Here is a 14,602-nt window from a genome sequence, read left to right as displayed (position 1 = left end):
AACAGGACAGAGACCCCAGGACAAGTGAACATGAGTCATACGGGAGGCGAGTGGTTGGTGGGCAAACAGGTGGTTTTCATCCTGACAGTGCTGGTGGCCTTCTGTGGGCTGGTGGGCAATGGTGTGGTGTGCTGGCTTTTCTGCTTCCAGGTCAGGAGCAGCCCCTACATGACCTATGTCCTTAACCTGGCCGCTGCTGATATGGTCAACCTCTCCTGTGTAACTGTGATCCTGTTGGAGAAAATCCTCATGCTGTATCACCAGGTGACATTGCAGGTGGCCATGTTTCTGGAGCCTGTGTCCTATTTCTCTGACACAGTGAGTCTCTGTCTCCTGGTGGCCATGAATATTGAGAGCTTTCTGTGTGTCCTCTGTCCCACCTGGTGCTGCCACCGCCCAAAGCACACCTCTGCTGTGATGAGCATCCTGAGCTGGGCCCTGGCCCTTTCTTTGCATGTGGTTAGCCAGGTTTGTGAGTAATGGGAGAAGGGCCTGGCATGTGACCAATTTCAGGCAGGCTTTATAATATTTCACATGCTTATTTGTCTTGTGGTGGGCATTTCCAGCCTGACTTTGATCATCAGGAGCCTGTACTGCCTGAAGAACTGTTCACCCATCCGGATCTACCACATTGTCCGCTTTGTGGCCATCAGCTTCCTCGTTTGGGGCCTGCCCTTAGTTGTCCTTGTGTACCTGCCAGGAAAAGAATACCTGACCTTTGCCTTTGACCTTCTGTTGCTGCTGTCCATGGTAGTCAGTATGGCTCAACCAGCCATCTACTTCTTGGCTGGCTACCTTTGAAGGAAGAGGCATAGGGAGTCCTTAAAGTTGTTCTCCCAAGAGCTTTGTTGAATGAGATGGAAGGTGGAGGAAACAAGGGGTTTCAGGCAAGGGAACAGCAGGTTACCAGGACTGAGCTCCTCCCACTCCAGGAAGCTGTTCCCCAGGACTGACCATGATGCCCTGTATTGGTCCATTCTCACACTGCTATAAAGAAATATCTGAGACTGGGTAATTTATAAAGAAAAGAGGATTAATTGGCTGACAGTTTGACAGGCTGTACAGGAAGCATGGCTGGGGAGGCCTCAGGAAACTTACAATCATGGCAGAAGGTGAAGGGGAAGCAGGTACGTCTTCACATGGCAGGAACAGCAGGAATAGAGCAATGGGAGAGGTGCTATACACTTTGAAACAATCAGATCTGGTGAGCACTCACTCACTATAATGAGAGCAGCACAGAGGGGAAAATCTGCCTCCATGATTCAATCACCTCCCACCAGGCCCAACCTCCAATACTGGAAATTACAAATGGACATGAGATTTGGGTGGGGAACATAGATCCAAACCATATCATGCCCTGTGGAGTCTGCCCCATAAGGAGGTGCTTGAGTCCTGGCAAACATAAGACTCTGAATAGGGCAGGAAGTCAAGTGGTGGAAAAAACTATGACTAGAGGAAATGTTCACTGAAGATTCCCTTTGTCTCAATACTGCTCTAATTACTTTGCAAATATAAAACCAGGTAATTTTAACAATTCTATGAATAGATAACGTTATTATTATCCTGCTTCAGCCTAAGCCAAAAGGCCACTTGGCCCACTTAGTCAGTGGTTATCCAAAGGCCCCAGCACATTATAACAAGCACAGTCCTTCACCATCACGCTCCTCCTTGGTGATCAATCACAGTTGGACTCTTGTGGGTCTGTCTGTGGGCCCTCTGCTCTATTCCATCAGTCTATTTATCCATCCATGGACAATACCACACTTGATGTAGTTACTGCATCTTTATCATACATGTCTATCTGCGAGAAGCTGAGTCCTCCTACAAGCAGCTAGATAGAGAAGAAAAAGACATATATGTACAGAGAATCAAAGATACAAAGCAGATTTCTTGTTGGAAAATTGCAAGTTGTATGGAAGTATTTTTTTTAAAGAAAAAAATGCCAACCTAGAATTCTTTACACAGTCAAAATTTTGTTTTCCAATAAAAAGGCAGAATAAAGAGGTTTTCAGATTGACAAAAGATGAAAGAAATCATCACCAGGAGATGTACAGATTGAGAAATGGTAAAGGACATCCATCTAGCAGGAGAATAATGACTCCAGATGGAAATCTGAGTCTACTAAAGGAAGGAGCCCTTTGCACTGCTAGACTCTCCATAGGATGCTGAATACAAGTAGTGAGAGCTGACATCCTCACCTAGTTCTTCCTCTGGGGTGAAACCATCCAGTCTTTCATCATTAAGAATAACGTCCAGTAAACATCAACTACAGGGTTTTTGTAGGTGCCTTTTATCAGTTTAAGAAAATTCACTTCTATTCCTAGTTTTTAGGAATAGAAATAGACTGGAAGTTTTTATAAGGTTGATGGATTTTGTCTAATGCTTTTTCCAAATATACTGAAATAATGATGTGCTGTTGTCTTTTCATCTGTTAATATGGTGAGTTATACTGGCCCATTTTTAACGTTGAAGCAGCCTTGCATTCTTGGGATAAATTTCACTTTGTCGTTCTGTGCATATATTTATACTTGTGTTGCATATGTATGTATGCTCAAGGGCACGGGTTTCTGTGTGTGGCAATGCAGTGGACCTAGATTAGAAATAAAAAACCCTCTAAAAAAGAAGAATTAAGTAAGATGGCTAACAATACCTAACTTCAAGACCTATCGTAAAGGTTCAGAAATTCAGACGGTATGGTATTGGTAAGAGGCTAGACAAATGGATCAATAGAACAGAATACAGAGTCCAGAATAGACCATCACATATGTGTTCAATTGTTTTTCAAAAGTTGTACAGCAAATTCAGTGGAGAAAAGACAATCTTAGCAACAAATACTATTAGAACAATTAGATATGCATATTAAAAACTTCAGTCCATACATGGCACCATTATTCAAAATGTATCATAAACCAAAATGTAAGGCCTAAAACTTTAAAATTTGCATAAGGAAAAAGGTAGATATTAGTGTGACTTTGGATTAGAGAAATATTTGTTAGATAAGCACCAAAAGCATGATGCATAAAAGGAAAAAAAAATGATCAATTGGACTTCATCAAAATGATGTGTGCACTCTGAAAGACCCTGTGAGGAGAATGAAAAGACAAGTCCCAGGCTGGAGGAAGTATTTGCAAATCTCACCTCTGATGGACTCATATGCAGGTTCTACAAAAAGCTCTGGGGAGTGGACTCCTCGTGGCCCTCAGGAGTCAAAGGGGTGCTGTGCTCAGGGCAGAAATGGGAGATGCCTCCCACCCTGTCATTCATGTCCCCTGAGCAGTGGTGCTCAAAGTCCCCTACCAATGTCCCTTCCTGGGTCCACAGACCCTTCTCTCCCCACATCTACACTGACAGGCCAGGCCCCTCCTCCAGGGCACAGGGAGGGACAGTTGGTCTCAGGCTCTGGGTGCCCAGCTTCATGCTCACCCCTTCCTTCAAGGCCCACTGGGCCTGTCTCACAGGATATAGTGAGGTTGTCTGGCATCTCCTGGACATGCTGTCTGGGCCTATTCCAAGCTGCAGCCAGAAAAATGGAGGAATGTTTGTCAGACCAGGTACCCTTCCCACAGAGCCTGGGTCCAGATACACAGTACAGAGGCCACAGGGTGGCCAGCCTAGAACCTGTGAGGTGGGCTGGGGACCACACAAGGGCTGTCTCCAGACAGCCAGGTGAAGCTTTGCTAGTTTCTCGGTATCTCATTTCTTTCCTTTTCTTTTTTTCTTTTTTTGAGACAGGTTCTTGCTCTGCTGCCCAGGCTGCAGTGCAATGGCGTGATCTCAGCTCACTGCAATCTCCACTCTCTGACTTCCAGGCTTAAGCCATTCTCCCACCTCAGCCCCACCAGTAGCTGGAACTACAGGCGCGTGCCACCACACCTGGCTAATTTTTTTGTTTTGGTAGAAATGGGCTTTCACCATGTTGTCTAGGCTGGTCTTGAACTTCTGGACTCAGGCAACCCACCCTCCTTGGCCTCCGAAAATCTTGGGATTACAGGCGTGAGCCACTGCATCTGGCTGTTATTTCATTTCTTGCCAGTTACCTTACCCTCATGAAAAACCCCCTTCATTCAAAATCAGTAAGAGGAGAAAGGTGGTAAAAGAATCAATGGAAAGAAAACAGGATATAACTTCTGTCCATATAACTTCTTTATGTCCCATTGGAAAGAAAAGCCTAAAGGGGTCCACTGGTTTCTATTGCTCTGAGGTCCCGACGATGGCATTACACAGTGCAATAACTACCAGCAGGGGCCATGCTTGATTTCAGCAGACGTCAGTGAGGACATACCTGGGATCTTCTGGGGTCGTGGACATGGACTTAGAGCAGAACTGAGTAAACAGGTGTGCACAGGCACGCACACACATACACATACACGTGCACATGTGCACACACAGGGACACACACTTCTGCACTGTTCTAGACTGTTCCCGGGGCAGCAGTCCTGGGCTGCACAGATGAGCCCCTCCCCATCCACTCTGATTCCACAAGGCTCCCCGACCCCGCTAGTCACCTGGCTTGTTGTCAGTGGTGTCCTTTGTGTCCCGCCTTGGCACAGGCTCAGGACCTGGGATTGCCAGATGCTGAGAGGAGATGAGATGGAAAGGATGAGGGAAGCAAGAGAAGAAGGAAGAGAGGGAGGGAGGGATGTGGGGAGGGAAGGAGGGAAGAAAGGAAGGGAGGGCTGCCGGAGACCAGCCACCCAGGGACAGTAGACACAGGTGACAGCAGACCCTCTCAGGGATGCTTTGTACAGACTGTCATGAATGAGCAATGTCACTGGAACTCCAACTTTTGCTCCCTTCCCAGCCCTCTGGGGGTCCCTATCAGGTGCAGTTTGAATTACAGGAAATTACTGGAGGGTCTTAACCCTGGCATCTGCCTGAGAGTGGGAGGCTGCAGTGCAGTGTGGCTCACAGTTGGGTGGGAACCTTGGCCTTTCTGGTGCTTGGCCCTGCTGCGGCCTTTGGGATGGGGAGGCTGTGAGAGGCTGGTCAGGGTCTGGGCTGTGCCATCTTCATTTCCCATCCACCCCAGTATGTCCAGGGCTTCCTGCAGAGAGCTCTGGGCAACTCAAAAACAGGCAGGACATAACAACAAAGACTTTATTGTGCTTTAATCAAAATAAGTGGGGGCTTTGAGGCCAAGGAAGGGGTCCTTTTCCCCAAGAAGAGGCATTCTTAGGCATTGTTGAATCTATGCTGGAAGCTCTGGTCCCACCTTGGAGCCTCCTGCAGTGAGTAGAGCCAAGTTTCCTGACTTTTTCTGACCACAAAATGCAACTGCCAAGAATGGCAGATGAGGGATCCAGCCTCCTGGACTCTCATTTGCTTAGTTTTCTTCAGTCTTGTGTCCTGGAGCAGATTGTGGACCCTGGAAGCAGGGCCCCAGTGCCATCTGCTTGGGCCTCAGAACTCTGCCCCATTGGTGGTCTGGTGGTGGCCACTTATCCTGCAGGAGCCTGACCATTTCTGCTTCCTTGAATGGATGAGGTTGGTGGCTGGTCCACGTGTTTCTGCCCCACCCTCACCAAGGTGGCCAGTGGTAGTTTGAGCTTGGTAACATCATCAGCTTGGCCTTGCCAGGCACACATAGGCCCCGGGTATGTACGCAGTGCTCCAAGGGGGCTTGCTCCGCCTTAAGCCAAATACTAGTTCTGGCCAGGGCCACAGGGGGCTCCATCTCCTGTGTATCTTGGCTGCTGCTGGAGGCCCCAAGGCACCCCTGGTGCCCCTTCCCTTTCAGGGCTCAGGTTGAGTCTGGGCTAGGGCCCTCTGGGTCTAGGAATTGTGCGTTGAGAGGGGGGTTCTGCCCTACAGGTTGGGACCATGGATGCAGGGCATGCTGCTGGGTGGCCTGGGCTGTGGGGACACCATGCTCACCCCTCCCTCCAGTGGCCTCCAAGTGTCCAGCTTCCCCATCAGTATTGACTTTCCATGTCTAAGGAGCTCTCTGGGGCTTTGGGGCAGCTTGCCAAGTGCTGCCCTGGCTCCTTCTGGGCCGTGATGTTCACTGTCTGCCAAGAGTGATCAGCTGTAGGCATCACATGCAGGAGAGTTGTCTCTGGCCCTACCTCTGGGCTATCAGGGGGCTGGGCAGTGTCTGGTATTGGGGGCTAGGCCAGTCCTATGATCTTAGAGGTGTCCAGGACACATATGGAAGTGATAGGGGCCTAGCATCTCTGCTCCAAGCTCTACTGTGAAAACCACAGGCCTCTGAGGTCCAGGTCCATGGGGAGCTTAGAGAGGGAGTTCCAATGCAGGAATCACCAAGCACTCTGTGGTCTATCCTGAGCTGGGGATGGGCTGGCCACACTCTGAGTCCCCAGGGCCCCCAGAGAGCAGCCTGCTGTCCTGGGCTCTGCAGAAGCTCCCTTATGCCTCTGGGCTTTGGCCTTGGGTACAGCATAGCCAGGTGAGGGTGAGGGAGGATGAGGCTCCTGTTTCAGGAGGGCTATACCCATGGGCTGCTGGAGCTGGGCTGTGGGCCAGGGAGAAGCAGCCCATCCCCTTGGGGAGGGTCTCAATGCTGGGGGATATCTGCAGAGGCCTGGGTGGTGGGGGTGCTTGCTCAGGTTTGGCTGAAAGGAAAGCAGATTTGGTCAGCTTTTCCATTGAGAACATCTTGCTTTTGCCAGGCTGGACCCCACAGACCTGGGTCCCTGCAGTCCTCAGGGTCCCCGTGTGGTCCCCCTGGTCTAATGCTGAGGACACTCCTGCAGGCTGCTACTCCCAGAGCGAGGTGTGTGTGCAGCCTAGAGTGGGGAAGCTGTCAGGGAAGCTCAAGTCACTCCAGGGACAGCCCCCAGGGTTCAGGCTGACTCAGTCTTCCTGCCTCACACTCTTGCCCCAGGGCTGCTTAGCCTGGGCTTTAGCCTTGATTCAGAGCTCAGATGGATGAGGCCTTAACTGTTACCTAGCCCCTTTGCCACGCAATATGGGGGCTTATCTCCACAGTGGATGAGACACCCTCCACTCCTCTGGGGGATCTCCATGCCAGGGCTGGACTGTTCCCACACTCAGCTGAGCAATCAATTCTGGCTCTGGGCCAGGGTTTCACCTATGCCCTCTCCCTAGATTCTCTTAGGGTCTCTGACACTGATTTTAGGCCCTTGGAGGGGTGCTCAGGAGTGAAGGCCCCCTGCTGCTCTCCAGGGCTGCTGGTACTCACAGGTGTGGTTGTGGGCTTGCACAGATGGATCTGACCCCTCCAGTGTCCTTCTGGGGCTTTCAGGAGTGAGAGCAGGAGGGTACAGGGGAGGGGCTTGGAAGAGTCTTGCTCACGTCTCATTGTCTCTGAGGCATGTCCAGTAAACCCAAGGTCAGCTTTTGCCCTAGGCTCAGGCAGCCTGGTTTCAGAAGCTTCTTAGAGGAGGAGGGAGAGGAGGGGCTGGAGGAAGGCCCAGGGAGCAGGGCTGGTGAGGTCTGGGCACTTCCCACTATTTACTGCCCCGCAGGGTGACACAGGAGGAGACTTGGTGCTGAAGCCCACCTGGGTGTGCAGGTCACAGTGCATGCTTCTCAGTTCCCCCATGGAGGCCTCAGGGTGCCTCATCACCATGTCCTCCTCCAGGGCCCAGGCCTAGGACAGTGTGTCCTGAAGGAACTCCTGCAAGCCAAACAGGAACAGCTTCAGGGGGTGTTCTAGGGACAGGGTGACTATGAGGCTGGGAGGGGTCTGTGGGAGAGTCAGTGTCTGCACCTTGTTCCTGCCCCAGGCACCCACCACTGGGCGGTGCTGGATCCTACTGTGGCTGCCCCAGGGGTCCAGATGTTCACAGAAAACCACAGCTGGAGGAAGGCCTGGGCAGGGAAGTGCTCAACACACTCTTGCCTTTCATCTGGGTTGTGTCAGGAGTGGGTTTGGTACCTGGGTCCACTCCCTGCCCAGCCCACCAGGCCTGGTCTGGCCCTACCTCCAGGCTGGAGCAGAGAGCCATCTGGACAGTGTGGATGCTGCTCTCAGGTCATCACACACCAGAAGCCAGGAATCTGTCCTGGCTATAGGTCCCAGGGTCTGTCCTGCATGCTCCTTCTGGGCACCATTGGCCACCCAGGGACTTAATTCTGTGGCTGTGAAGGCCATGTATACCATAGTTGTCACCACACACTCACCTCCCAGTAGGTAGACATCCCAGAGCCACAGGATGAGCATGAAGGAAGTCTGTGGGAACAGCAGGTGTGGGAGGACCTGGCCTTTCCAACCTCGGGGCTGGTGGCTTGAGCAGGGCCCACTGTAGCCTCAGTCTGGACTTCCTGAGGCTCCCTCTGCTTGGGAAGAGACCCACCCAATCTTCCATAAGGCTGGGTCAGACAAGGTCCGGCAGCTCTTCATGGGGATGGACTCATCTCAGCAGAAATGTGGTTCCCAGAATAAGGGGCTTCCTGAGGGCTTGTGGCTTCCCTGGCTCCTTTGGCTCTTCCAAGATGGGTCTTGGCCCAGTCTGCCCAGAATTCCCTGGTGTCTGGTGTGTAAAGCTCCCATCATACAGGTCCTGGCTTGTGTGCCCTGCAGAGACCTGCCTGTGCCTCCTGTGGGGTGGGGGTGAGCTGGGTCCTCCTGGGGAAGCCAGACCCCTGGGCTGGGGGAGCTGAGCACTGTGGGGAAAGGAGGTACCTGGCCTGGGGTCTCCTATGCATCCTTATCTCATCGATGAAGCACCATAGAAACCAGTTTAAGGTGGAAAGCCGGATGCACAACCCTTCCTTGTCCTGATAGAAGGAATAGAAGTGTTCAGGGTCCCCTGGGCTTCCGTGAAAACCTCTGTATTCCAGACCCCACTGCAGACCCTTCCCCAAGAGGTAGAACAGTGGTGGCTGTGCCCCAACACCTCCCCATGGCATGGGCCCCCAGTGGATGTACTTCCCCTAGCCCTGGCTCAGCCAGAGCTTGGCCTGGTCCCAGTGCCTCTGTCCCCTCCAGGTAAGGAAAAGGAGGCCAAACTTTGAATCCATTGAAAACCAGATCAAGCCCTGGCTGGAAGTTGGCCTCTCACCAGCCCCAGGCTTCCCCTGTCCCTGCTAACCCCATGGGACCCAGGGCCTCTGGGGAAGAGCTGAGGGACTGACCACTCACCATGTGCTTCATAAGCTCTCAGAACACTTTTAGCAAAACTTGCTCTTGATGGGCTTGGAGACTCTGGAAGTTAGAACATCTTGGGATGTAGACTCCTGAGAGGCTCCTGGGGCCCCAAGGAATCAGAGCCTACTCCTGAGATGTGGAGCCATCAGGCTGGGCAGTGGCAGTTGGGCAGTGGCAGTTGGGCAGCAGCGGTTGGGCAGTGGCAGTTGGGCAGTGGTGGTTGCTTCCAGACCCCAAGGCCTTTCACTGTCCCATCCAGTGACCCCATCATGTGGTCTCGGCCAGGAGAGGAGGGGTGGGAATGCCCCTGGGGCCTGGCTGGAGGCACTGCTTAGTGGCTTCCAGGGCCATGGCTCCAGAAGGGCAGGCCTGCCTTTGAAGCAGTGAGGACAGGTGGGAGCTGGTGGGGTGACCAGGGGTGCTGGAGGGTGTGTGGCCTTCTCCTGGATGTGGGGTCAGGGCAGGGGACACAGGACAGAGAGAAGCTGTCATCTGGGCTTGGTCTAGCCATGGGCAGGGAGGGTGGTTGGGAGGGTGGCCAGCTGGGAGGTGGAAGGACCAGCAGGGTTGTAAGAGTCCCCTGCATAAGGTCAGGGCCAGAAGGTTGTGACACCAGGATGCAGAAGGTGGTCACAGGGCAGCTGTGATCCCATTTGCTGATGGGGACAAGAGGCATCTGACTTGGGGTGTCGGGTCCCTGGCCAGTCACAGGCTCCTGTGGGACTCTCAGCAGGGGATACCCTGGAGGCTCAAAATGAGCAGGGGACAGAAGGTGCCTTGTCTGTAAGTCACAATTACCCAGCCAGTGTGGCCGTCCCCTGTCCTGGCTGTGTGATGCCTCGTGGGTAGCTGTCCACTGTGAGCTAATGTCACATGGGAGGACTGTGTCACCTGAGAGGGCAGAGGTCACCTTGGAGAGTACCATGCTTGGCAAGCCTCTCATTGGCCAGCAGCTGGGCCAGCACCCAGATGTCTCCTCATTCTGGAACATGAGCAGGATAGTGGCTCATGGCATGATATGGCTTATGCCCCCGCAGTAGCCTACCTCTGGCAAAAGCCAAAGTCATCATGGAAAGACTTCACCAAGGCTGACGTCACCTTGGAGGGTTGAGGTCACCTGAGAGGGCTAATGTCACCTGAGCACACTATGTCACCAAGAGGGCAGAGGTTACCTGGAAAGGCAGAAGTCCCCTGGCAGAGCTGAGGTCACCTGAGGAAACAGGTCACTTGGAAGGGAAGAGGTCACTTGGGAGAGTTAATATCCCCTAGGAGAACTAATGTCACCTGAGAAGGCAGAGATCATCTGGGAAAGCAGAGGTCCCCTGGAAGACCTGAGTTCACCAGGGAGGGCAGAGATAACCAGGGAGGACTAATGTCACTTAGGAGGGCTGAGGTCACCTGAAAAGACTGAAGTCATCTGGAAAGGCAGAGGTCACCTGGGAGAGCTGAGGTAACCTAGGAGGGCACAGATCACTTGAGAGGGGAGAACTAATGTCACCCAGGAGGGCAGAAGTCACCTGAGAAGGCAGAGGTCACCAGGAAGGCCTGCCACAGGTCCCGGGGAATTTAGGGTGCAGCTTCCGTGCCCCTCTCCTGACACTGTGGTTCACTTGAGCCAGTCATGGACATCTCAGATGAAAAGGAGCTATGGAAGAGACTCCTGCTTCATCCAAACTCATGTGTGGCCAGAAAAGGCATAGGTGAGGGCCGTTAAGAACACCCTGACCCGAACTGCAGATGCTAAGCTGGGGAGGCCACTGTGCCAGGCTCAGGGCAACACCCATGAACTGAATCCCTATGAAGGCTGGCTTGTGGGTGCTGACCACTGCACATAGGGGACTGGGATGGCTCACAGGCTGCTGGGCACAGGAAGACAGCTAGGTCCAGACCCTGTGTGGGCAGCCCATGGAGTCTGCTCAGCAGCTCTTCCTGCCAGGAATGGTCAGGAAAGTGGGGGCTGGAGAGTGGGAGCAGCCATCTCAGTAAGTCCTTCCCTGTCTGCTGTGCTGTTCAGGGTTCGGGTGAAGGGGAACTTTGATCCCAAAGCCTGATTAAGATGATGGCTTCTTCAGGATCCAAACTCACTTTATGACAAAAGAAATGTTCATTAGGCACTTCACCATCTTGTAAAATATTCTGAGAGGGACAATCTGCAACAACGCAAAGCTTGTGGGGTTTGAGGTGGGAAAGGAAAATAAAACTCAGGACTCCAATTCACTATGCCAAATGGAAAAAATTAAGCTGAAAGCTGAGTCATGCAAAAAACTGTCTTTCCTTTTGTTCCTCAGCAGATAGCTACAGATAGAAGGTTAAATAGCTCCTCAAGTAGCTAGTCTTATGTTCACCTTATGTAAAGGGCCTATTACTGAGTGTGAGATGAATCCATAATTGACTGTTTTCCTGCCTACTCCTTTTCTCTTGCAACATGTGGATAACCACACCCTCTTTCCCATCTAGCACACTTCTCACCTTTAAATATTGAAGCCCTCACAATCATCTTTGAGAAAGGTACATATACCTGTTTCCTGGGTGCGTCCTTAACCTTGGCAAAATGAAAATTCTAAACTGATTGAGACCTATCTGACATACTTTTTCGTTTACAAGTTGGCAACCAACGGAAGAGACTCTGAGTGAAGGTGGCCCTGACCTTTGACAAATCTACTTGTGCATGGTACCAGTATGAGCTATATTTTTATTTTATCTGTTTTAATTTTGAGACAGTGTTTCACTCTGTCACCCAGGTTGAAGTGCAGTGGCACGATCCCTGCTCACTGTAGCCTCCACCTCCCGGGCTCAGGTGATCCTTCCACCTCAGCCTCCTGAGTAGCTGGGACTACAGGCTTGTGCCACCACACCGGGCTAATTTTTGTAATTTTCATAGAGACAGGGTTTTGCCTTGTTGCCCAGGCTGGTCTTGAACTCCTGGGCTCAAGAAATCCTCTGGCCTTGCAAGGCCTCCCAAAGAGCGGGGATTACAGGCATGAACCACCATGTCTGGCCTTGAGCTATCTTTATTGTTCAAACTGTTACAATAGGTAATTAGTCAGACATGAATAGGTCAGGAGAGGGACCCTCGCCCAGGAATGTCAGGCAACCATCAGATGGTGGTCAGGAGGTTGTTAAACTGCCTCTTGAAAATAATAATTGGCTGCAGCCGGTGCCAGGGAAAGGCAGCCTCCCAATAGAAACACCTCAAGTTGGTAATCAGCAGCTTCCCAATAAGATCTCAGGAGGTGGGCTAGTGGACTTAAGCATGTGCACTAACAGGCAAAATGGCAGAGTTGAACCAGTATATAACCTTTCTCCAGGAACACTCGGCTGGTAAGGGAAGAATGCCTTAAGTGAGCATGTGTACAATTTTGGTAAACACATTGTGTATGTTGCCCCTTCCAAGTGCTGGCAGGCCACTGTGCACGTGGACAGCCCACCCCAAGGGAAAAATCAAGGGAGAAGAGATGCAAACCACTCCCCCGCCCCAAGAGGCATGCCAATGTATGAAACCCCAAGTCAAAGATCAAACCATGAACTTGATCTCTCAAGTCACCCACTCGGCCCTCTTTCAAGTGGACTTTACTTTCTTCAGTTTCTGCTCTAAAGCTTTTTAATAAATTTTCACTCTTGGCTCTAAAACTTGCCTCAATCTTTCACTCTGCCGTATGCCCCTCAGTCGAATTCTTTCTTCTGAGAAGGCAAGAATTGAGATTGCTGCAGACCCATATGGATTTGCTGCCAGTAACAAAACCAACAGGACGATTTGCTGAGGCCTGGGAGGTATCATCTCCAGAGAATCCCTGATTTCTCAAAATGTTGTTGAGATCTAAGGTTTATTTTGCTGTTCAACTCCTTTTCTAGAGTTTTACTTGCATCCAAAAAGATGAGTTTTTCTGAATCCATGATAATGGAAAGCAGGCAACTCCTTTCCAGAGTTTCAGCTTGCTTCCAACAGGGAAGATGAGTTTTGAGTTTTTTTCCTGCTTCTAGGATGATAGAGAGCAATCTTCAACCTGGGCCTTATTCCTACATAAGTAGCTGAAATGGGGTTTGTCTTGGAAATTCTCTGAAAGTTAAGATTAACTACCAGCTGGTCTTGATTCCTCCTTACCATTAGAGTGCTCAGTAATCTTATAAATTGTGCAATCATTTGTTTTGCTTTACTTTTTTGTTGTTGTTTATTTGTTTGGTTCTGTTTTTGTTGTTTTAGTCTTTTTTCCGTTGGGTTTGACCACTCTAGTTGACTTGGTCAAACCTGAAGGAAAGTTCTAAATTATGGGGAACAAGACCTCTGAACTGGCTAAATTCCTGAAGCTGGAAAAACAAAGAGAAAAAAAAGAAAAATCAGCCATCGAAGCAAGAAAGATTTCAATTACCTGAAGGGCTTTATTTACATAACAAAACAACCCTTTGCTAGCCAAGCCAAACTGAAATAGCAATAGTGGTTGCCCCATGCTGTAGTTCAGTAGCTAAGGTTCTGCCCTTTTTCCACCATGGCAGCCTGGGTTTGGTTCCTAAATAAAGTCTTTACTGGTTTGATATTTGTGTTACATTTGAAATATTAGAAGTTTGTCCCACCTAAAACATGGTAATGTAACCAAAATGCAGGTTAGTCGCTTGTTGCTTGCAGAGTCCAATTAACAAAAGTGAAGTCTGGTATAAAGAAAGTAATTTATTTCCAAAACTAGCTTAGGGGAAGAAATGCAGGTGTCCTCCATATGGCTTCACTTTTAAAAAGCAGGGGAGGAAGTGAGCAAGGGTGGTGGCGGGGGGTCCATGCTAGCTCTTGTGCCTTATCTACGGGGCAATCAGCTTGTGACTGCTGGCACCTTCATGGGCAGGCTGTTATCTCTTGAGACAACCTCCTAAAGAGTGAGAGTTCCACAGTGGGCATGATTGGTTTATAAATCAACTGTTAATTCTCAAGTTGACTTTCCAGTTTGAGCGTGTAGTTAGATGAACTTGCACTGTAGGGAGAGTCCGGTAATGGGGAGGTAAAAGGCTATATTTGCATTCCTAAAAGCCTAAGTAGGGAGTGGGGAACTGAAGGAACAAGAAAAGGAAAGAAAAAAAATAATAATTGATGTCTCAGGAAAATGGGTGTACTCGGTTACAGCAATGAGATTTTAAAGGATTTTTAAAGCTCAGTGGTTAAAAGTCAGCTTGATTAAATGCTAATATACATAAGGTGTCAAAATTTGGCATGACGGTTATAAAATTATAAATGTAACTCAAAAGATAATTATCCTTGTGTAATTTTTTTTGATAAATAAGTCATTTATCCTGAGTTATTGGCGAAAAACTCATTTGTTTAACCTTAAGCTTCTTACTTAGGTAAACACCTGAAATTCACAGGCTATATAAATGATTAACAGGAAAATACCTTTAAATGTTGATTATCACAGTTTTCATAAGTAATCTAGGTAAACTATTAAAAATAAGTTAGGTAAATGTAATGGAAGGAATGCTTGTAAATAAGCATAATATAATTTAGAATCTAAAGTTATATTACATAACAGGCATTTATTAAATGTCTGG

At 49.8% G+C, this 14,602-nt stretch overlaps 1 long non-coding RNA gene and 1 pseudogene across 3 annotated transcripts, besides 1 other annotated feature; one reads left to right on the top strand and one right to left on the bottom strand.

Annotated features, from left to right (window-relative positions):
• On the top strand, positions 1 to 840 carry GPR53P (G protein-coupled receptor 53, pseudogene; annotated as a pseudogene).
• Positions 5,084 to 9,246, bottom strand: LINC01015 (long intergenic non-protein coding RNA 1015). 3 transcript variants are annotated; one of them, NR_037181.1, is made up of 4 exons: positions 9,068 to 9,246; positions 8,609 to 8,703; positions 7,484 to 7,600; positions 5,084 to 6,572 (listed from the first exon to the last, which is right to left on the bottom strand). It is a non-coding gene; the product is annotated as a long intergenic non-protein coding RNA 1015 (long non-coding RNA). The 3 variants fall into 3 exon arrangements; NR_037179.1 differs by having other exon boundaries at positions 5,084 to 7,600; NR_037180.1 differs by lacking the exon at positions 8,609 to 8,703 and having other exon boundaries at positions 5,084 to 7,600.
• Positions 13,218 to 13,725: an enhancer, noted in NCBI's record as "OCT4-NANOG hESC enhancer chr6:29492704-29493211 (GRCh37/hg19 assembly coordinates)". NCBI's record gives its function as "activates a minimal SCP1, AML or CMV promoter by ChIP-STARR-seq in primed H9 embryonic stem cells {active_cell/tissue: H9 hESC(primed)}" and the evidence as "EXISTENCE:reporter gene assay evidence [ECO:0000049][PMID:30033119]".

This window comes from Homo sapiens, chromosome 6, assembly GCF_000001405.40.
Source record: "Homo sapiens chromosome 6, GRCh38.p14 Primary Assembly".
NCBI classification, from domain to species: Eukaryota; Metazoa; Chordata; class Mammalia; order Primates; family Hominidae; genus Homo; species Homo sapiens.
Note: the sequence above shows the minus strand (reverse complement) of the source record. Positions and strands in the feature narration are given on the sequence as shown.